The sequence below is a fragment of the Homo sapiens genome, chromosome 3 (assembly GCF_000001405.40).
Source record: "Homo sapiens chromosome 3, GRCh38.p14 Primary Assembly".
Taxonomy (NCBI): domain Eukaryota; kingdom Metazoa; phylum Chordata; class Mammalia; order Primates; family Hominidae; genus Homo; species Homo sapiens.
The window spans coordinates 17156398-17177097 of record NC_000003.12 but is presented as its reverse complement, the minus strand read 5'-3'; the positions used below and the strand labels follow the sequence as shown (position 1 = coordinate 17177097).

At 44.9% G+C, this 20700-nt stretch overlaps 1 protein-coding gene across 62 annotated transcripts in view, besides 4 other annotated features; it reads left to right on the top strand.

Moving 5' to 3' along the window:
- Positions 1-19936, top strand: part of TBC1D5 (TBC1 domain family member 5) — a 585470-nt gene extending 565534 nt beyond the window's left edge. For 42 of the 62 annotated variants that reach the window (XM_047449296.1, XM_011534283.4, XM_047449314.1 and 39 more), the window contains 3 exons: positions 9270-9349; positions 10170-10331; positions 15842-19936. In XM_047449296.1, coding sequence (XP_047305252.1) covers positions 9270-9349; positions 10170-10331; positions 15842-16135 — 536 coding nt within the window. In that variant the 3' untranslated portion in view covers positions 16136-19936. The remainder of the gene's footprint in view (positions 1-9269; positions 9350-10169; positions 10332-15841) is intronic. The other 20 variants (NM_001349091.2, NM_001349086.2, NM_001349080.2 and 17 more) reach the window with 1 other exon arrangement.
- Positions 526-1027: an enhancer, noted in NCBI's record as "NANOG hESC enhancer chr3:17217563-17218064 (GRCh37/hg19 assembly coordinates)". NCBI's record gives its function as "activates a minimal SCP1, AML or CMV promoter by ChIP-STARR-seq in naive H9 embryonic stem cells {active_cell/tissue: H9 hESC(naive)}" and the evidence as "EXISTENCE:reporter gene assay evidence [ECO:0000049][PMID:30033119]".
- Positions 6974-7474: an enhancer, noted in NCBI's record as "H3K4me1 hESC enhancer chr3:17211116-17211616 (GRCh37/hg19 assembly coordinates)". NCBI's record gives its function as "activates a minimal SCP1, AML or CMV promoter by ChIP-STARR-seq in naive H9 embryonic stem cells {active_cell/tissue: H9 hESC(naive)}" and the evidence as "EXISTENCE:reporter gene assay evidence [ECO:0000049][PMID:30033119]".
- Positions 17679-18179: an enhancer, noted in NCBI's record as "H3K27ac hESC enhancer chr3:17200411-17200911 (GRCh37/hg19 assembly coordinates)". NCBI's record gives its function as "activates a minimal SCP1, AML or CMV promoter by ChIP-STARR-seq in primed H9 embryonic stem cells {active_cell/tissue: H9 hESC(primed)}" and the evidence as "EXISTENCE:reporter gene assay evidence [ECO:0000049][PMID:30033119]".
- Positions 18180-18680: an enhancer, noted in NCBI's record as "H3K27ac hESC enhancer chr3:17199910-17200410 (GRCh37/hg19 assembly coordinates)". NCBI's record gives its function as "activates a minimal SCP1, AML or CMV promoter by ChIP-STARR-seq in primed H9 embryonic stem cells {active_cell/tissue: H9 hESC(primed)}" and the evidence as "EXISTENCE:reporter gene assay evidence [ECO:0000049][PMID:30033119]".
- Positions 19937-20700: the final 764 nt, after the last annotated feature.

Below are 20700 nucleotides of genomic sequence, written 5' to 3'. Positions count from 1 at the left end.
GTCCATCATCTTTGGTAAACTTACTCTGACTTCAAAGTGTATTAGCATTTTGGTTTCTCTGTCTCTTTTAACTGCTGGATGTAGATATTGCAAGCTGTATTGAAGGGTGACCACAGTGGCCCCCAGTGGCTGCCTTGGCGTTGTAGCACTCCCACAGGGGGTAGCATTCCCACTAAGGATATCCTCACTTAGGCTCCAAGCTTTTCAATGATGTCTTTATTCTTCTAATTCAGTAAGGAAGAGACTTTTCTGGTTAGTAATAGTTCTGTTGGATTTCTTTTCTTTTTTTTTTTTTCAATCATACTTTTAAGTTCTGGGGTGCATGTGCAGAACATGCAGGTTTGTTACATAGGTATACACATGCCATGGTGGTTTGCTGCACCCATCAACCCATCATCTACATTAGGTATTTTTCCTAATACTCTCCCTTCCCTAGCCCCTCACCCTCCAACAGGCCCCAGTGTATGATGTTCCCCTCCCTGTGTCCATGTGCTCTCGTTGTTCAGCTCCCTCTTATGAGTGAGAACATGCAGTGTTTGGTTTTCTGTTCCTGTGTTAGTTTGCTGAGAATGATGGTTTCCAACTTAATATCTAAATAAAAGTCTGATCATTTCTAACAATTATAGTCATACTTGGCAGCTTTGCTATGCAGGCAAGACTCTATTATAGAAGACCAAAATACCAACTTACCAGCCTTCCCAGTTTGAAAGGGGCAAATGTCCTTTGTGTCATTTCATTCCTGGTAGAGCATTTAACACAACAGTAGGATGAAGCTTATATACTTGTCACATACAATAGCAACTGCCATTAGTTCCTATGTGCCAGATTGAGTGCCAGGTACTTCACAAACAGTATCTCTAATCTCCCACTAAGTCTGCAAGTTGAGAGAGAGTATCCCTAGTGTACAGTGGAGGAAATTGTGACTTAGCATGCTCTGCATACTTGGTGGGAGGTTACACAGCTAGGTAATAGCAGAACCAGGCAGGATTCAGTCCCAGCTCTGTCTGATTCTACAGCCTGTTTTCATCCTTTCACACCAGGCTGCCTCTCCATGTTCTCCAGTCCCAACTCTCTTTAGCTAATGATCCAATAGCCACAAAACCCATCTACCTCATCGTCTGTGGAAACAGGCTTACTACAGGTAGCTCAAGGGCTTTGGAGCCACCACAAGCATCTCATGCTGAGGACAAGAGCATATGAGCCAGGGGAGGTGCAGACCAGGATTTAAAGGCTGATGTTCATTGCCTTGGACCATGTTTACATTCTAGCTGCAGAATGGCACTTAACTTTTACTCACTCCTCATGTCAGCAAAACCTTTATGGCCTGAAATGCACAACATATATATTTATCTTAAGCCCAGTTCAAAGAGTCTTACTTGACTAAATGATGTAATTTTAAGGCAGTCACACCCAAACTGCTGTCCTATCTCTTAGCTCCCAAGTAAGGGCATGATGGCAAAACCCCAGATTATTTCATATGACTAAGGCATCAGCTATGTTTCTGTTTTTATTTTTAGAAGTACATATTCTGGCAAAGGCATCTAACCATTACTGGAACTTAGAGACCTTTCAAGTTTAAAAATATGTGTAAAGTCTCCTTTTTTGGTTGACCCTAATGTTATAGCCATATCATGATTATGACAGATTTTACTGGGAGGTGTCATGCTTCCATGTTACTCTCTGGCGCACAGGGTGATAAGTGCTAGGAGAATAATATGCCAAAGAGTAGAGATCAGTAAAGATTCAGAACTCTGTGCCACGCTTACTCAGTTCACTTAAGAGAACTATTGGCCTCAAGAATTGTCTTTAGTGTAATATGCAAATTTGCCTAGTCTTACCCTTAGATTTTCCTAAGTAATGTTCCTCTCCCAGTGCTGAGTTTTGGGTCTTCAGCCATTCTGGCAGCTGGATGCCAAAGAGGATCCTTGATTATATTTCTGTGCAATCTTCATTTTGCTTTTTAAGAAAATTAACTTGGCTCTTAATAGACCATCAATGAATGTTAATTTCTCTTCACCTGCCCCTACCACTTCTCAATCTAAGATCCGGTTAATCATATTAGTATCTCTTAAATCTTCATCTGGGAAATATCTCACCTACATTTATTCCTTAGGGGATAAAAATCAGCCCTAGTGGTAGCAGGAAAGCCCTTGCCTCACATTGGTCACTTAGCCAGTTACCTGCTCTCTCATGTAAAAACAGTTCTGGCTGGGCATGGTGGCTCATGTCTGTAATCCCAGCACTTTAGGAGGCCGAGGCGGGCGGATCACAAGGTCAGGAGTTCGAGACCAGCCTGACCAACATGGTGAAACCCTGTCTCTACTAAAAATACAAAAATTAGCCAGGCATGGTAGCACACGCCTATAATCCCAGCTACTCAGGAAGCTGAGACAGGAGAATTGCTTGAATCCAGGAGGCGGAGGTTGCAGCGAGTCGAGATTGTGCCACTGCACTCCAGCCTGGGCAACAGAGCAAGACTCTGTCTCAAAAACAACAACAACAACAACAAAGACAAAACAGGTTCTAGGGGAATGGTGAGGTGTGGAGTGGTAATCTGAAATTGAGTTCAATGTATATGTAAAAGTTAAGTAAAATTTCAAGGTAGGGAGAGAGAGCAGGAGAGAACAGACCTCTTCAGGAATACCTAAAGTGATACATAGCTTCACTTGAAGAAAACCAGGGTCTCCCCCAGAGTACTAGTGATTTCAGAAACATTAGCAAGGAGCAGTGGGGTTTCAAAGTGATAAGAATACTTTGAATAGAGCACCATATTTAGAACCCAAACACCTTGAGCACCATATTTAGAACCTGGCACCTTTGGTGCCAGGTAGAACAGTGCAGTTTCAGGAAACATTCAGTCTCTGAGCCTCATCATTGAATTATTGTCCAAGAGTGAGAGATAAAGCAAGAGGGACCCAACAACTAGGTGCTACTGGAGGGAAGACTGCTAATGGGAAGCTGATGCTTAGACGTGGTAAGTTTGAGGTGGACTTTGAAGAAAAGGCAGGACATGTCATTATAGGGAAGATGGGAGGGACTTCTAGAAGGGGGAATGGATTTGCAAGGACACACAGAGATACACACCATGTACTGGAGGTTGCATGATGAATTTGATGTCTTCTCCTAGGGTTTGGACAACTATGGCACACACCCTGTGCACAGACATCCCTTTGTCAATGTTCAACAAAAGCCAGTAGTGACAAATGACAGGTCTGCCCCTCTCTCTGACTAATGGCCACCTCTTAAGCCACTGTCACACTGGGCCTGCCTCCCTTAATCCCACCTCTCTATTTTATAACAGCATGCATAGTTCCTCTTTAGAGTCTACTACAGTCCCTTATATGAGATTGTTAAAGATCAGGGTATCTAAATTCCTATCAGAGATGAGAAAGCCTCAAAAAACAGAATCCAGATATCTGAATATTTAAGGTACCAAGGGAGGAGGAAACATAGTAGGCAATAATAGTAATTGCAAGACAGTATGCAGAAATAGAAAGCTTTGATTATCTCATCTAATCCTCTCAGCAACCTTCTGAGATGGGTATTACCCCCATCTCACTGATGGGTTTAGTGACATACAGAAGATCATATCTCAGGGTCATCAAAACCCAAGCCCTTTGGTACCATTGCCAGTGCTCCAAAATGCTCTCTGATAGAAATGATTGTACAATCTGTTGTGCGTATAGGTAACTGCCTGTTTCTGGCTGACCTCACTTCGATCAGTTCCACCATGGAATAAAAGGCAGTACATCTCAAGGCAATCAAGTCAGTGCCAATATCCCATCCTGTGCCTCTGCATATCTCTGGTGCCTTCATCAGTGCCATACAAATAATCATGAAGCTCAGGAGTCTGAAAGATCTGAAATCTAATCCCAGTTCCACCACCTTCAAGTCATGAGACCTCAAATAACAGACCTGGCATTTCTGGGCTTGGCTTCTTTTTCTGTAATATGTTGACAGTTCTCATCTAGAAGGGTTGCTGAGATAGTCACTGAGGTAACATGGCACGTACAAATGAAACGACTGGGTGCGGAGCTTCCATAGTGGGCTTAGGTGTGGTGCTCAGCACTTGATCTGTGCTGTCTCCCTGTTTCTTCACAGCCATCCTATGAGGAGGGTGCTGTTATTACCCCTCAGGCATAAGAAGGTTAAATGCCTTGCCCAGTTCCACCTCTGTTAAAGCCAGATGTTCTGCTTTTGTCCCCTTTCTACTCACTAACACCCTCACCACCACCAAATAAGGCTTATGTTACCTTTTGCACCAGCCATTTAAAACATTTAATTGAAAACACTTGTATTCTAGCATTGAAAAAAATCAAGTTTTTAAGAAATTGAAAAAGTGGTTTGTTTACCATTTTCATTACCCTGAGAGTTCGAGATCTATTTTTGTGGCACTACATTTCATTAAAAATAGTGGCATCACCATGGGATTGTTAGGTGAATGAGATTTTTGTGTGTAATTTCCACAGAAGTGGTTAGTTATGTGACAGTTTCCCCTTTAGTTTCAGTGCTCCAACATTTATAATATGTAATACTTAAATGTGAGGAGATTATAAAGAGTGTAATCTTCCTTTTACACAGAAACAAAGAGAAAGAGCCTTTATGGCAAAATTTATTCTGCCTTTGGCTATGAGGAGAATTGTGTATTACGTTGGAAATGTAAACATTTTATCTTAAGCCATGGAAAGACATCATTACGTTTGTCTACTTTTACATGCAGATGTAACTTACTTAAAACAGTAGATTTGTTACTAGGAGGTTATATGTAAGTAGAATGTTTGTAAATGCCACCTTATATAGGGGAACTGTTAGGGAAATGATTTACATGGTCAGTACTCTTAGTAAAATGTATATTCTTGTACTCAAAACATCTAACAGCCTCTGAAGGTGCCCTTTTGTTTTAATTTGGATTTACCCTAGATTTCTTAAAGTGAGCCTAGTCAGCTTAGTTGATTAAAAAAAGGTTTATCCCTGAAATTAAGTGAACAGTTCATATGTACATGGGTTTTCAGGGGAGGCAGTCATGGTTTTCATCAGATCCTAGAAGGTGGTCCTTGACTCAGTCCATAAATTAAGACGAAAGAATTGCTAGATGAGGGTATGCTGGTGGTGATACTACAGCTCTGAGTTCTTCCCTCTTCTTGGGTGCACCCACTCTGCACTGCTTTCTGTAGCTGTGTTGCACATCAGGCCAGAGCATTGTATTCTGCATGCAGGACAAGATTAGTAGGTTGCATTGTCTTTTATTGAAGGAACTGGATGCTTTTCATCCTGTATAACAATTAGGCAGTCTGGCTGCTGTACTAGGTCCAATATTGTCTCATCCAAACTTATGGTGAGACACCTGGAACCTGTGAACGTGACCTTATTTGGAAATGGGGTCTTTATAGATGTAGTTCAGTGAAGATAAGATCATACTAGATTAGGGCTTACCCTAATCTAGTGGCTGGTGTCCTTATAAGAAGAGGGGAATTTCGATAACAGACATACAGGGAGAATGCCGTGTGATAATGGATGCGAAGACTGGAGCGATGCATCTACAAGCCAAGGAATGCCAAGGATTGTTGACAACCACCAGAAGCTAAGCAGAGTCAAGGAGGAATTCTCTAGAACCTTTGGAGGAAGCATAGCCCTGCCAACAGCTTGATTTCAGACTTAGCCTCCAGAACTGACAGAAAATACATTTCTGTTGTTTTAGGCCACCCAGTTTGTAGTACTCTGTTACAGCAGCTCTAGAAAATGAATACAGCTGCTAATAACATAAACTCCATCCCCCTCCAAAAAGTAGACAAATCAAGAGGTTACTTTTTTTTTTCACAACTGAAAGAAGCCCATAGGTAGACAGTCTAAACAGGGACAGTGGCTCCATGGCGTGCTCTAGGTGCCTCCTTAAACTGTGATCCCTGTCACAGCTTTTGTCTTCACCACCACTCCTTCTCAACTTACCCCTGCAAGCACCACCACTTCCACTCTTGAACAGATGGATTTGTGAGAGGCTCACAGCAAAACAGGGCATGACTAGGACTTCCTGGTTCACAGGTTTTTCGGGCAATGTGGCCAAAATGATTTGGGAAGATCTTGTATAGACACTGTATTGGGATGATAAGTCTATGTCCCTAAACTCACGTGTGCCGAAATTGTGCTCTAAAACTTCATCTCCACCAATGATAATCAAAGGGCTTGAACTTGCCAGTTAAAGGCAATTCAGTCTCTTATAGACTAACCATTTTTTTCTGAGCAAATGCCCACACTTAGTTTCTCTACTCTGTCTCTTCTCCCTGCCAAGATGATGCCAGGGTTCTGGGATGGGCTCACATCTCTCTTTGGTGTTTGAGGAAGAGTTTCTGAGTGCCTTCTAGGTCCTTGCCTCTAAAGAGAGCTTTGTGTTCCTGTACATTTCTGGGTTTCATTTTCCACTAGAGCCACTGACTGCCCTGTGTGCCCATAGACTGTGACCTAAAGGCCGTTGGTCCTTGTTCCTCCTGGCCATGGGCCCCGCCATTACCTTGGGGGCAGAAGCCAGGCAATGTGGCCACATCTTTTCGTTTTAGGATGTGTTCCACAGCAGACTATCAAAGAGGCAAGCAGGAGACAAAGGTCTAGTTAGGAGAGCAAAAGAGCTTACATCGGTTTCTGCAGATTCCCCCTTTGTGCTGGCCTCTGCCCTATGGATATGACCTCCAGGGGGACTTTCTTTAGTTCCTTGAACCCAAAAAGCCCCCTGTTCTTCCTCCAAATGTCCTGATGCTCCTGACTCCACTTGCTGAGCTTCCTTTGGGGGCCTGGGAGCAGTTCCCTTGCTGCCCCCACCTACCCAGTGGGAGCTGGGAAACCTGAGCCCACCTCTCAGCTCAGCAGAGGCAAAATCCATTTCCCTGTCCAAGCATCCGGTGCTGTGTGCCATGCTGCCTCTCACAGCTCAACCTGAAAAGCCATAGCAGTCTTGTAAACAAGGTCATCTTTCTCAATCCTCTAAAACAGGGGTTCCCACTCCTGGGTCATGCACCAGTACTGGCCCGTGGCCTGTTAGGAACCGGGCTGCACAGCAGGAGGTGAGGGGCACGTGAGCCAGCGTTACCACCTGAGCTCCACCTCCTGTCAGATCAGAGGCAGCATTGGATTCTGGTAGGATCGCAAACCCTATTGTGAACTGTGCATGCGAGGGATCAAGGTTGTGCGCTCCTTGTGTGAGACTCCAGTGCCTGATAATCTGAGGTAGAACAGTTTCATCGCGAAACCATTTCCCCCACCGTTTGTGGAAAAATTGTCTTCCATGAAACCAGTCTCTGGTACCAAAAAGGTTGGGGACTGCTGCTCTAAAAGACCTACAGAACTGGTTCTTGTGAATTTTCTGCAGTTGCTTACTGTTAATGTCTTGTTGAATGAATTCTATTTTGTTTTTTGTTTTTTTTATTGAGAGAGAAGAAATTGTTACAGGCTTTTAAGGAAACGAAAAACATTTGCTCTCTAATTATATCTGTCATTCCATTCCCATTCAACTTGCTTTCTTGTTTTGGAGCAGGCCATTCTAATAGCCAAAACTACAGTCAAGTTTTCTCAATAAATAAACGCTGTTGCTTTTCTGCTACAGTATGTAAGAAGACTTATCACCCTGGTTTATGAATTTATTCTTATTGAAGATTCTAATAAATTGTCAGGCTGGAAACATGTTGATGGTATCAGTCATTGCCCTGCCCCTTACTGGAAATACTTTTTGGAAATATTTAGAATAGTAGTGTTTTGATATGCAAGCTCCAAGTGTGTTTTTTCATGTTCATTTATTAATTCATTCCATCAGTCAGTAAATACTTATTGTGTACCTGTAATGCACCAGGCATTATTCTGAGGGCTAGAAATAAAGCTCTGAGCAAGAACACCTTGGAGTTTATATCCTGTTAGGGGGAGATTGACAGTGAATAAACCAGCAAATACATGCATCAAACAATGATAAGTGCTTATAAATACAGTGAAATGATGGTATGGTAGAGACTGGAGAGTCATTTGGGGGCTTCTTTAGTCTGGGTGGGCAGGAAGGCTGCTCTGAGGAAACAACACTGGAGCAGAAAGTTGAACAATAAAGAGAAGCCTGTGCATAGATTTGGAGCAAGAGCCTCCAGGCCAAGGGCACAGCGCACTGGTTCTGCCTCTGCCGATGCGGGGCATTGAGCAAGTGAGGAGTGGTATATTAGCCCTAGTAGCTGTACGGGGCCAAGCATGGAATCTAGGAGTCCCGTAGCAACTGGAACAGTCTTAAGTGAGTGACTAAGAATGTAGCATGGAAGACATTGTAAGTGGGCATTTTTTTACGCCACCAAGAATAAGAAAGCAGATGTTAATGGAGGGTGAACATACTCACTGTAGTGATTCTCAAATCGGTGTATCTATCAGCATGTTTTTTAAAATGTGTTTTAATTGTGCCCTCCTCCCTTCCTCCACCAGCACATCCTCTTGTACTTCCCCGGGAGACTAGGCTTTCCTCCCAACCCCGGCCCCTTGCGAGAATCCTGCCTCAGAACGCCACAGTTCCTGATAGAGCTGTGTGCATCCTGCAGGCACATGAAAGCAGGGAAAGCTAAGGACCACTGAGTGTTTAACATACCAACAGGCAAGCAACTTAGTGTGATGCTGCGCCTGATGGTCAGAAGCTGGCTTGGTGGGTCCCTCAGATCAGGCCTGGAGGAAAGACTTCTCATGTGGCGGCTAAGTCTCCTAGAGGAGACTCCATAGACATTGTCATCTAATGACAATCTGTAGTGCCATGAGTTTGGACTCTCATTTTTACTATTATGTTGAAATGGCAACATGTTTTACTGTTATGAATCCTTAAAGACAGTTTCTTTATTAATTTCAGTCACCTGGAAGGAATCGGTCTTTAGAGAGAGGTAAGGTAACATCATTGACCCATGAGGCTATACAGGAAGCCCAGGCTGAAAAGCTTCCTCCTAGAGATTAGATGAATGGCCCAGGCTGTCAGCCACATCATGTCAGCAAGAGGTACCCAGATCTCTTGTTGGAAGTGAAGACACATCTGTCATGATGAGAGTACATTCATGGAATGTTGGAGGGGAGGCTGTGTGTACCAGGCCCAGTGCTGCCCTCTCCACTCAACCCTGCAGCTTCCCCATCCGCAGTTTGCAGAGCATCTTTTGTGGGAGTAGTTGCTGTGAGATTTGGCAGAAAACTTCCCAAGCCCGTCTGAAGTTATGATGTGGCAGCAGGTAGGTTATGCTCAGAGCATTGGTTATAAAATGTCATTCTTCTATTTTCAGTAAATATTCAAGATGTGATATTACAAGAAAATTTGGAAAAAGAAGATCAAATTCTGGTTTCCCTGGCAGGATTAAAACAGGTATGTGCATTGCTCTGACACTATTTCTTTGTGTCCCGCCTGCCGCGGGGAGGGCCCCCCAGGGCATGGAGCACCATGATGTTAGAGCCAGCATCCCCCTAACCCTCATTTCCTCCCAGACAGAGCCCCTTCTGCATCACCACCTCTTTGTGCCCCCGCTGCTTCTAACAATTATATCTGACTAGCTTGCGACCCACGCTGGTTTTCCATTTCCCACACCACTCCTTCCTCTTACCAAACCCATTCTGTTTGTTCCTTACCCAAAGCTAGTGTGGGTAGACCAGCATCATGTTCAGTCATTCATCCATGAATTCATGAATATTTTTGGGGCACAAGTCATAATTAGTACCTACAGCAGGCCTCAGACCCTCAAGGACCACATTGACCCAAGCCTTGAAGATCTAAATGAGACATAAATGTCAGTGAAAAAGAGTATGCTGTTTCCAAATGCCTACCTATGCTGTGAACAGTCCAGCTCAGGTGGAGCCACTTTAGTGACCAAGGTGTGCAGTGGGGGTGGGTGTACAGGCAAATTGTGCTTCCTGTTTTAAGATAGTGTTAAGTATGTGACTCCCATATGTGACCCTGTGAGAACCTGGCTATTAAATGTCCTGACGTTTTTCTTGCTCACTGCTAAGCCAGCAGCTGTGATAAAATTAGATTTTTTTCTCATTATTTGTTTCTTATAGTAAAATATTAATATTCATACTATAAAAAATGATTGATGACAAGGCTAGTTCAAATGTCTGAGAGATTTAGCTAGCATCTGAAAACAAACTCATCCATTTTTTTCATTTATTTTCTTCTTCTTTGAAAATAGATCAAAGACATTCTAAAAGGTTCCCTGCGTTTTAACCAGAGCCAGCTAGAGGCCGAAGAGAACGAACAGATCACCATTGCGGACAACCACTACTGCTCCAGCGGCCAGGGCCAGGGCCGAGGCCAAGGCCAGAGCGTTCAAATGTCAGGGGCCATTAAACAGGTACAGAAACTCTGAGGAACATGTTACATTAACTCAAAGGGAGCACATTCACATAAGTTCCTCAAAGTTAAGAATACACCCTACCAAAGTTACTTCAAATTACCATGTATGAAGTTCAACTGCGGAGGTGCTGTGTACAGCTGTGCAGGCTGTGCACTCTGTGCTGCAGGGGGTGCCATTCACAATGATACTGGTAAGACAAGTGTCTCCTAGAGCCGTGCGGTGCGTGCCCTACAAACCCGTGTGCAGCAGTGCTGCCTGAGCCTCCTGCCATGCCCATTCTGTGCGATGGGAAAGCTGGATCTCTGTCTTAGTTATCAGTCAGTTGCCTCCAGCTGATGCCTCTTTTCCCCTTTAGGAAGTACTGTCTAGGCTTTCCTAATGCTGTCTCGAGTGGATTTCACTTCGCTAGAACCTTTTTTGCCAAAATTACTTTCTTGCCTTCATGGGGAGGGACTTCTCATTAATGTCTGCCATCTGTGGCAGGGGTCCATAGAGGGCTACAGCGTAAGTATTTCAGGATTTGCAGGCAACATATGGTCATCTGTGTCACATACTGCTTTTTTTTTTCTTTGTATCTTCTTTTTGTTTTTATCACAACCCTTTAAAAATATATAAACCATTCTCAGCTTGGGGGCCATGCAAAAACAGGCCACAGGCTGGATTTGGCCATAGTTTGCTGACCCCTACTCTCAGATGTCAACATTGTATATAATTTATTTTAACACAAAACCACAGAATTTCCTAGCTAGAAAGGATCTTCCTACAGCTTCCTTATGTGCCTAGTCCTGTCTGCTCATTTGACCAGTGAGAAAATGAAGGCCAGAGGACACATACAGGCTCCGAAGCCAGAGGCACTTAGCCTGCCAGGCATTATGTTTTCAGAAGCCCTGCCCCAACCCAGTAAGCTTCAGTCCCACCATGTTGCCCTGCTGTCCATTATCCGATAAGACGAAAAGATTGTTCATTTCCCACCTGTATTTTAAATTATTAATAATATTTTTAAAATCAGCTTACAAAGTTTCATCTTGGAAAATGAACATTAGCAAAATATTATCTAAGTCACTTTCTCAAAAACCAGCATTCAGACACTTGTAAATTATTTTTTGTGTGATTTTAAAACAGCAAAATGACATTTGAGTGGGAATGTTTTTCAGTTTTAAGGGTGCTCTTCCAGAAGAGAGACTCCATGGTTAACTTCCTCTTGAAGCCATATGAAATGTTCATGGAGTGCTTTGACTCTGCATTTGTAGCCACATGAATGCAACAGTGATACTGCCAGTTTAATTTCATTCGTTTCTTCACAAATTCTCCTTCCTTGCACAGATGTTTTATTTTTCAATCATTTATTTATTCAAATATTACTGAGCGTAGGCCCAACCACAATGCATTTCTAATTGACAATTTTATTTAAAACTTTAGCATAATTTTTTAGTTGAGTGTGTCAGTTTACTACAGAAAAAAAGATATTTTAAAATCACTAATGAATTTGTTAAATTTAGAACTTAATGATTATACTTTGCAGTTGTCATCCCTGGTTTCTGTATTTATAAGAACCTACCAATGACCACTGCTGCCCCGGTGGACCCCACTGTGCATACCCAAGATAAGCTAGCCATGAGATGTGTCTGCAGTGAATGAAACTGCACCCTTGTTCTGGCACGGCCTCATCACGTGCAGTATCCAAGAGATACTGCACCTCTGCGTGTGCTTCTGAGACACAGTCAGCCCTTCCTGGGGCTGAAGACCCCACAAGTGAAAATAAAATGGCTTCTCTTCTCTACCTCTTCTCTGCCATGGCCCTTCCCCATAGCTGTTAGCAGTTTATACAAAGCTAGTACTCCTGAAAAGAGTTTTACTGAAGAAGAGAGAAACAGAGAAGCAGTGCTTTCCTCTCTCCTTCAGGGAAATCTTGAGATTTCTTGAGAGAATTCCTGAATTCAAGCAAGCAAGTCAGAAAGAAGCCAAGTGCATGGGGCCTTCCACTGCAAAGCCCAAGGATCTGGGCTAGGCTGATAAGGGCCCAGGGGGTCTACCAGGCATGAGATAGCTGCCAGGTACCCACCTTCTTCCTGCAGGAGCTAACTCATCAGTGCTTGGAGCTGGCTAAGTTTTCCTCCTCACTCCTTGTGGGAGGAGGTACAGAGGGCCGTGGACAGGCTACCCCCAGGAACATGCGCCAAGAGAGCCAAGTGGAAGTTCCGAAGGCTTCCACAGCCTGCTGTGCCAGGAACTGGGTGTCCAAGGCTATGGGATATATCCCCTGCTCTCATGAGCTCCCAGTTATGGAGGGCCAGGGCCTAGGGGAGCAGTGTTAGGCAGGTTCTTGACACATTGGAGATGTAAGCACCACATGTTGGGTTTGTGATGGGTTGTGCCATGGCACATTCCTAACTTAGGGATGGGTTTTCGGTGCTTTCTTGGTTAATCAGTAAATAATGTCTAAAAGATAGTGCAGAAGGGCCAGGCTCCCCTGCCTAGTGACACATGGCTCATGGTCCTCCTGCCGATGCCCTTCCTCAAAAGCAACTGTGAAAGTGTTCTTCCTTTGTGGGAATTCACATGCCCTGCTCCTCACTGTGAGGTTGATGTGACATGGCTCATAGTGTTCTTTCTGTTTGGTTTACAAATCTTACCTCCAGCTCTGAAAACAGCAGTCTTGTGAAATTGTATTCTATAGAGTGAGAAGAGCCACACGCTGTCCCTCCCTTCTCAGCATCTATCCTCACACATTCCTTTGGGAAGTATTTGATGAACTAACTCAAATCAGCTGCAGTAGAAGGCAGGACTTTGTGGGACCCTGGATCCATTATTAGTCAGCCAACGCATCACTTGCCCTTTTGGTACTTGGGTCCCCTGTTTTAATCCGCATATTGTCTACTATTACAGCCACTAGCCACGTATCTATCTATTTAAAATTAAATGCACTAAAATTCAATAGAATTAAAAATTCAGTTCCTCAGTCACACTAGCCACTTTTCAAGTGTTTGGTATCCACCTGTGGCTAGGGGCTGCTGTATTGAGTAGCACAGACAGAGAACGTTTCCATCATCATGGAAAATGTCTGTTGAACACTGCTGGTCTATAGTTGGGCTCACCTGCTTCTACAACCATCCTAAACTCAAGCTATGAAATGAGGTAGGTCTGGGAAGGTGGCAGGAAGCGGGTAAGAGGGATATGTGTTGTGATGATCATGGCTAGTTTTAGGCAGGACTGACAGGTTGAAAACTTTTCTAATTGTGTAAGACTTACCTGTATTGGGTAAAAAGAGAGGATTGACCTAGGGATTTACAAAACTTCTGTAAATGTTATAAATGGCACCAGATAGCAGTTAAGGCTGCTAGGGAAATCCATAAAGAAGTCAACTCTGCCTCTTGAAAAAAATTCTAGGTGGGAGTCCAGAAGAGTGGGGTCTTTTGTTGTGCCTTGTGACATTGGCCAAGCTACCAGGTCTCCTATTTGGGCTCGTTTTCTTGATCTGTAATGCAAAGGGGCAAGGAAGGGGGGGGGGTCAATAAAAGAAAATGGCTGCTAAGGCCCTGTCAGCTCTAACTTGCTTTGTCTACGGCAGTCTGTGACCTTCATCTGGGAATTGGGGGAAGCATGCCAGATAACTACAGTAATGGTAGAAACTACTTTTATTTAGTCAGGGGTTTGAAAAGTATTTCTCCACTTCAGAATCTCACTGACGTCTTCACTGTAAGCTAAAGGAGAATAAGTGATCTCAGTATCTCTGAAGTAGAGGCACCACTCTAAAAACTAGGCCCTGCTAAACATGCTCTTTTATTTTCAACCTAGGATAAGCTCCACCAAGTAGCATTCCAGCCCTGTGTTGTGGTGAGAGGTCAAGATTTTCACAGTTTACAGTGCAGGACAACTGTCCTATGAACAAAGTGTCTACAATTCTGGAAGAAGTCAAACCTGAGGGCCTCTGTTGATTCCCCAGCAGCTTTCAATGCACTCCCCAAAGGCAGCATGGCTCTGACCAGGTGCACCTTATATAGGGACAGTCATGGGGAAGAGATTTGAGTTCTTTTCCTCCAACTCAGAAAAAAGACAGTCCTTCTCTACCAAACAGCTCTGGTGCCATTTGTGATCACATCCCCTGCTATCAGACTACCGTGTGCTATGTTTTTCTTTGCTTGTGTAGGAGTTAATGTGTTAATAGAATGTTAACAACAGCTTTAGAACCTGAGATGAAGAACCTCAAGGCCTGTTGCAGCTCTGTGATCCTAAAGGCCAATTACGTTTATGTTCTCTGACTGAATATCCTAAAGGTTGGTGAATCATCAGAGATGGAAGGTTCCTGAGCCATTATTTAGCCACTTGCCCCCTACATCACTGAGGAGGACATGAGATTTAGAGAGGGGCCTATCAGACAGGGCTCAAGGCCAGATTTCCCTGAGAGCTGTTACTCATTCCCCTTCTTGGCTCTGCACACAGTGCACAGATGGCCTAGGCCATGCCAGTCTGGAGGCCCAAGGACTCAGGAGACACTTCCAGTCAGCGGTCTCCATATATCTCATTAGACTTGAGACCCCAGCACGAGACTCCACCCATGCTGTGGGGAGGGTAGGCAGACAGGGTGAGGGAGGCAGCTGTGGGCACTACATCACCTTACAGCACCACTGGGTGAGGTGTTCTTTCTGCCAGGCTGGCACTGGATGTCCTTGGTCGAACTTTGGCTTTGCTAACCGAAAACCTTTACCTGTGTTCGTGAATGTTAACTTTATTAAGTAAGTTAAAAAATAAAAAGCCACTCATAATTGCTTAGAAAGAAAATAATTTTTGAGTAAACCAATTCTATCTCTATACTTTTTGCCATTATACTTTGCAATTGCCGTTCTTGGTTTTCACATTTGTAGAACCTACCGGTTACCACCATTGCTCCAGGAGACCCCTGTGTGCATACCCAAGATGAGCTAGCAATGAGATCTACATGAGATGAAATACATTAGGCCTTCTGAAAGCTATCCTTCTAGCCAGTAATAGAATCACTCCAGATCTGGCAGCTCACATTAGGGAGCCAGCAGCTGCACATATCATCTCACTATATCATGACAACACATTAGGAGGAAGACACTGTCTTTATCCCTGTTTCACAGATGAAAGTTAAAGTTCAAGGAGGATGGGTGATTTGCATGGCAGGGTCCCACATGACGCTGGTAGGGATTCTGCCTGCAACCTATTGGCCATCTCCTGAGCCTGGGCTCTCCCTGGCAGCACAGACACTGCCTCTGTCTGAAGCTTGTCAAACAGGAGCTTTACTTTGTTCCCCCAGGGAAGCCAGCATTTGGCTTCAGAGGGGCTCACAAGATGCTGCTGGCACTGCACCACTGGTAAACGTGTGGGCTTCAGGGCAGCAGGCCAAACACTGCGTCTTTCAAGGTCGAATGTAGGGTGAGGTGGCCTAGCTTTCCACCACGAGTCCCCCAGTTCACAGGGCCTTCCACTCAGTTCTTTGCCAGTTTCTTCTTTCATCCACCTGTACTTCTGACTGTACTTCACAGGCCTCTTCAGAAACGCCAGGGTGCACTGATAGAGGGAATTCCGATGACTTCATCCTGATTTCCAAAGATGATGATGGGAGCAGTGCCAGGGGCTCCTTCTCCGGCCAGGCCCAGCCTCTTCGCACCCTCAGAAGCACCTCTGGGAAAAGCCAGGCCCCAGTCTGCTCCCCACTGGTGTTCTCAGATCCACTGATGGGCCCAGCCTCAGCTTCCTCCAGCAACCCCAGCTCCAGTCCTGATGACGACAGCAGCAAGGACTCTGGCTTCACCATTGTGAGTCCCCTGGACATCTGACCACAGTGCCCAGTCCTGCCCCACAGGGATCTAGCCACCCTTCAGTGGCCCCAAGGCCAGACTGAGGCTCATCCAGTGGAGAACCTTCTTAAACCACTGCTTCCTTCCCGGCATGCATTTTGCATTGGTCCAGCCCTTTGAAACCCCTTAGAGAGAAGCATATATGGCCACAAAGCACAGAGGCTTAGGTTTGCCACATGCAGACAGGGCTTTCTGGGCCCTTACCTAATCCCCACCCGACTCTTGCTCTGAGTTAGAGCTGAGTTACGTACCCAGTATCACACTCACAGTTAGAAAAGACCGAATCACAATTTAGAATCACTTTTCCTCTGTCCCCTTCTCCCCAGCTAAGAATGTGTGGCACCTCCATCAGTTATACTTAGAAGGAGCAGAAATAGTTATTTTCGTATCTTCTATCCCTCAAAGCATCAGACATGGGAAAATTGGTTTATACCAAGAAAGCTTCCTCTGTGGAAATCTGTCTCAGCCTACTTTATTCCTGCATTGGGAAGCCATATCGCAGAGCTAAATGCAATAGAATGAACCAGAACTAGTGGATTCCAGGGCTGGGGGAAAAAAAAAAAGAAAAAACCTCATTACTGACCTCTCAAAGTTATAAGGATCTCTGCAAACAGGATCTAAGCTTAGGAATAATATTTAGGTGTGATATAGTGTTAGATTTTTTTGATGTATTAAAGAATGCATCTCCAATCCTTAGGCCATATCAACTTTGGCCATCAATATCTCTCCTTAAACAATTATATTTCACCTTTTAGAATCTTTCATAGCCAGAAAACAAGATTACTGTAAGCCAGTTTTAGCTGCACTGATTTCAAAAGATATAAGAATATTACTATCCTTCAAATGGAAAATGCGACCTTGACTTTATGGGATAAACATCTTTCAGACAGTCAGTTTTCTAGTCAGGTTTCTCTGGTTTCAGAGCTGTATATACCTGTCAACTGAGGAATAAAGGGAAAAACCCAAGTTCATTCCCACCCAAAGTCAGAATCCCTCATTGGCCTTAAGGTAGCAGTCATAAGACAGAGAATTGGACCTAGAGTCCCTTCTGTGGGGAATAAGGATACCTAGAGAACATTCCACATGCCAAGAGGATGCAGGATTTCTACACAACCCCTTCCCTTCTTGGAAGTCAAGTGTAGGTACTGCAGGGCCTGTGCTCAGCTGTGAACCCCGTATCCTGGGCCCCACTGCCGGGACCGGGTCTGACATGCCAGTGCCTTCCTGGGCTGAGCACAGATTAGAGACTCTCCCCCTTGTCAGTCAGCACCTTAGGAAACCATGATGGGCACAGAGCATCACATGAGCTGTTTCTCTCCTTAAAGAAGATCCCTGGAAAGGATGCTTTTCCTCTCCTTTGCCTGCGCAGGAATTCTAACAGGAGTGGGTGAGGATGGCAGAGGGACACAGTGCCTGTCTCGCCTCCATCAGGGAGAGCAGCCATGCCAGGGATGACTAGCTCTTTGAGCCTGTCCTCAGAGGATGGCGAGGCAGCCGGGCAGTGGAGGCCTTCATGGTAACAAATGAAAGCTCAGTATAGAGGAACAGACACTGTTTACGTCCCTCCCACTGCTAACCTTATATATCTCTATAGACAAATGTGATAATGACATGATTTCCCACCTGCCCTCCAAGAAAATGGTGACTCACTCTCAAGTCAGCTACTGTAGAGAGGGTTCTAATTGGTTCTGCAATTTGCTCTTAAACTCTAGCAGGGAACTCTCCTCTTACCACATCAGCATGTAAGGTGAATAATAACTGGTTTTGCCAGACAGCAGGTTGTCTGACCTTCAACCACTGGGCAATTGCCTGGCAGATGCACACAGTAGCTCCCTGGCTTCTGGCTCTGAGTGTTCCTCTCAGCACCTCTGAGTAAGCTGCTGCCAAGCACATATCCCTATGACAACACTTTGTAAAAGCCGCGGGGCCCCCATACAGCGAGTGACCTTGCAACTGTGCAGGGTTGCCATTGGTCACTTTCTCACCTTGGGAAGGTGTCAGTGTTTTCAGTTCTAAGGTAAGAGGTGTAGAGCTGTTCCCACCAGGGCTCTGGGACAGACTGGAAAGGACCACAGACCTGGCCATCCCTGGGCAGCAGGGCCAGTGTCACCTGCTGACCTCTAGTATTTCCTTTGCCCTAGAGCTAGAGTCATGATAGCTGAGGGTCACTCGCCCTGCAAGAGTCACTAGGCACCCACCATGCCAATAAGGCTCTCCGCTGGCTCCCTGCAGTTGGCTGGGTGTTTAATAGTCACTGAAAACTCCCAGCCCTGCTGCACACTAGAGGCAGGTCCTCTCGGTCCTCTCCATCCTGTGCTTCTGTGGCCCCCAGCAAGCTCACCACCTCCTTGGAGGAGAGAGACATACAAGGACAGTGGGTCATGGGTAGTACCAGCCTCAAATTCCCACAGGCTCATACTCAGACAATTGTATTACTGCCTTATGTTTTTTAAGTGTTTTTTTAAATTCTTCATAGTTGAGTATTATTTGCAATTTTATTAGTTACAGTGCTATTAAAGAATATGTGCTCCTTTTTATTATATTATCAGATACTTATGTTTAATTGTACATTTTTTAAATCCTGAATATATTGTGTTTTGTTAACAAATGTAATCAGTGGAACCCTTCTTACGTTTTGATTATTAGCAGTTAAATACATTTTGTATACATGAAGCTTAGATTAATTCCCATCATCATCATCTCCTGTTTTTATATGTGTCCCTATGTGTTTCATGCATTCCTCTTTGATCAGATTGGAATTTGAGTTAAAATTTAGCTTTGTACATTACGTGTGAGAGTTACAGACTAGCAAGTCTAATTACTTTGCCTTACCTTGAGTGTATGCCACAGGGTCAGATAACACATTAAACATTTAGTTACACTGGATTACTCTTCCAAAGCTGACCTCCTGCTAATGTTCAGAGGTAACTGCAATCCGGAAAGAAATAATATCACTGCAGAAAGAATGTGACTCTAAAAATAAACCAGGACCTCCCTGTGATTTGCCTTGCCTGCAGATGACCAGTTGACTCTTGTGCTGTCAGCCCTGGGGTTGCTAAGGAAGCTGCTTCAGGGAGTTGGGGGTTAGTTGCCCGCTCTCAACAGGAATGCCTCCTCTACTTTGTCAGAGATGCTGAACAAATATCAAACTCTGTGGCAGTCATGCTGGCCTCCTAAGAATAACCTGTGAGTCAGAGTTGATGCACATTATTTTTGTTTTTATTTTATTTTTTTAAGGAACTGCTCCAAGGGTTCATTATAGAACAGGAGTGTGTACGGAGGACTTAGGTCCCCACATAGAGTGGCCGTTCTGTGGCGGCTCCAACCAATTCCATCCCTCCTTTCCTGCGGACACACACCTGGCCCCTGGCCCCTGCCCTGTGTGTCTGGAGGAGGGGCACTGGGGAGGCTGTGGAGCAGAGAGAAGAGGCCGGATACATTGAGGATGGCACCTGGCAAGCCAGGCTTCCTTCTCAAAGGCCAGACTGCTTTCTCAGTGTTACTTACTAAAGCTCTCTTTTTATACTGTTAAAAAGATATATAAAGTTCGTATAAACAGGCTTGAGACCACTTTGATGTAAAAGCTGTCATAGTAGTTTTTCTCACAGTGGCACAATTCATTTGATTGATGGAATATTCAGTGACGCCATGTATGCCCTATCGCTTTTTTCTCATCCATCTTTATGCTATAACTCATACTGATTTAAGAAATGATTTCTCCTTTTGGCAAAGCGACCCCATTCAATATGGTTATAATAAAAGACTAATGTCAAACTGAGACTATAGCTTGACTTATTCCAGGCCACGCGTTGGGGCACAAGGTGCTGACCAGGCCCGGCCCAGAGGAGTCCCTCGGAGTGCATAGCCAGGTGGGGCGTGGACGATGGAACCATGTCCCAGCCCGGACGCAGAGGTTGGTCCAGCCCCAGCACTGTGGTCCAGCCTCACATCACCACTGGGCAGGTCCTAGGCCTCGCCCAGGGCTCACACCCAACTCTGACATTCCCTTCCTCTCTAACTTGGGCTAGTTTCTTAACTTCTGGGGCCTCAGTTTCCTTATCTGCAAACTGAAGAGAGTAGTCACCTAGTTCATAGGGTGTGGTGGGGATTGAAGAGGATAACAATTGAAAGGACTTAGCACAGAGCCTGACATACCATGAAATGCCCGACAGTTTCAAAGACGATGCTTAATTCTGGAAGAGCCCCTGGAGGTCATGTAGTCCTACCCCGACCATTGACAGCCAGGACCTCAGAGGCTGCTGGGAGGCCCGGGTCGCACCCTGAGGCAGCCCTGCTCAGCCCACTGGTCCAAGAGACCATTTTGGGGGCAGCCCCAGTGGCTTGCTATCCATCAGCGCCAGGTTTGCCCTGGTAGCTGCACTTCCACCAATCCAATGTGGGATTGGTGAAAAGGCCACAGGTGAGGTTGGGGGAAAGGTGAGTATAGTCTTAAGTGACAAACTAGGAGGGATGGGGAGGGGGATCTCTATAGCTTAGGCAGAGCCATCATGCCAATGGCAGCTTAGAATTTGCACCTGGGCCCA